The 2163-nt window shown below is 50.7% G+C and overlaps 1 annotated feature.

Annotated features, from left to right (window-relative positions):
• Positions 241-742: an enhancer, noted in NCBI's record as "H3K4me1 hESC enhancer chr1:30579535-30580036 (GRCh37/hg19 assembly coordinates)". NCBI's record gives its function as "activates a minimal SCP1, AML or CMV promoter by ChIP-STARR-seq in primed H9 embryonic stem cells {active_cell/tissue: H9 hESC(primed)}" and the evidence as "EXISTENCE:reporter gene assay evidence [ECO:0000049][PMID:30033119]".

The raw sequence follows: 2163 nt of genomic DNA, 5'->3' as shown, positions 1-2163 counted from the left end.
GATGCCTGGGTGTGAGGAGCCTGACTGGGAGCCAGGTCGGGGAGGGTAGGGAAGGGTCCTGAGGTGTTTCCTTTTGGAGAAGAGAAGGGGGCGCCTTCCAGGGGCCGTTGGTGTAAGGTTTGGGCTGCACATGGAGGCCCCAGGTGTGGCCCCAGATCATAAGGAGGTGGGTCTGGCCAAGTGGATGGGAAGATTGCCAAGTCACACAGACCCAAACTCAAGGCCAGGCAAGGTCAAGGACCCCTTGTGTGGCCCTGGGCTACAGGGGGCACCAAGAGAGTAGAGGACAGCCTGACAAAGGGGCTCGGGATTGTTCAGGATTTACTTCTGTGACACGTGAACAAGCTCAGAGAGTACCTGCCAGAGGCTGGGGCAATGCCAGCATCCTGGGGATGCTTTTGAAGGACAGTGCTCATCTAAATGTGGACATTCTGGGAGGCTTCATTTTGGCCAGTAACCTCAGGGTCATGCTGCAGAGAAACACCACGGGAGGCAGAGGTGGGAGGGCTAAGGGGTGGGGGAGCATGGAGTCAGGAGAGGCTTTGGAGAGGCGAGGAGAGGGTCACCGAGGGACATGTGTATGTGGGCCTCTAGAGGATTCAGAGAACACTAATAAATGTCCACTAACTAAGCACCTCGTCTACTGTGTGCCAGTTTATGAATGCATCCACTTGCAACTTTTCATACCTACTATGTGTCTGGCCCCATGCTGTGACTTGAAAAGACAGCTGGGATTGAGACAGATGTGGCCCATACCTTCATGGGGCTGTTGCTTGGGTGAAGTAGATGGAGGCAAAAACCCTTCAATAAACAAACAGTGAAACTGATAGAATGAGGTGTGTGCCACAAAGAAAACCAGAAAGGGCCAATATAGAACTTTGCCTCCTCACTGAATCCTCCAAAGCATCCTGTATTTACAAGATCCTATTATAAGCCCATTTTACAGCTGAGAAATCTGAGGCCCAGAGAGGTGAGTAACTTGTTCCACGCCCATGGCTGGAAAGCAGCAGAGGCAGGATCTAAGCCTGCAACCAGCAGACACAACAGACTGGCTGGTCAGCCCCACCTCACGCCTCTCCCTGAGGACATGGTGTTGTCAGTGGTGTTGGGAACCCGCCATCCACCAGGGGGACCACAGAGCAGGCGCTGCCCCGTGCTAAAGGGGCTTTAGAGTCAGCGGAACCTGGGTCTGAATTCTGCCTCCTTCACTTGCTTGCTGTATGATTCTGAGTGTGTTTACGGCATTTCCCTGTGTCTCAGTTTCCTCCTCTGTAAAACGGGAGTGATGACCTCTATCTTGGAGGGCTGTTGCAGGGATCAAATATGAGAAAGATGTAAAGTGTTTCTAGTCAGTGTTGAAAATGCTTTTCAGACACATGGGGCAGGAGTGTTAAAAGATGTGCTTCATGTATTTGAAAAAGGCCTATGTTCCCCCTCTCTCTGTCTCTCATTGCTTTCAGAAGCTCTTTCCTTAACCACACACGGGGTGGAAAGAACGCCTTGTCCAGAAGCCGAAGGACACTGAGGCTCTAAACTCCTGCTGTGTGGGCTGCAGCAGGCCACTGCTCTTCTCTGACCCTCAGTTTCTTCATCTGTAAAACTGGAACATGATGCCCCACTGGAAGGCTATCGTGAGGGCTGGACACGGCGATGTAAATTGAGGGCCAAGCGTGGAGCCGGCATAGAGTGGACACTAAAATACACCAGGCTGTTTCATTTGGCAAAAGGGGTTCAATTCTGTCTTTTAAACTCATGCACTTTGGCATATTTGGCTTCTAAATATGCAGTGAGGCAGGAAGAGCAATGAGTCTGGAAGCCAGAGATTCTCGTGCATCCATTCTCTCCTCTGTCTCAGCTTTGCATTGTACCTTGGGTGAGCCATTGCACCTCCCTGACCCTCTGTGTCTTCATCTACCAGACAGAAAAAATTACACTTACTCCTAAACCATAATGTTTGGCAAGACCCAGTGAACCTCACAAAGCACCCCCAAAAGGCAGGCAGGATGAGGAGTTCTCCCTGTTGAGCTGTGTGAGCTGCCCAGATTGATATGCCTAGAAGGCACCCCATTTGGAAGTAAACACAGGCTCCATTTAAGGATGCACGGAAGGTTGGAACACTTTATTCCTGAACACATTTATGTAAAATTAATTGCATCACCTGTT

The sequence above is a fragment of the Homo sapiens genome, chromosome 1, assembly GCF_000001405.40.
Source record: "Homo sapiens chromosome 1, GRCh38.p14 Primary Assembly".
Taxonomy (NCBI): domain Eukaryota; kingdom Metazoa; phylum Chordata; class Mammalia; order Primates; family Hominidae; genus Homo; species Homo sapiens.
The sequence above is the reverse complement of the archived record's forward strand: the minus strand, read 5'-3'. Positions and strand labels throughout refer to the sequence as shown.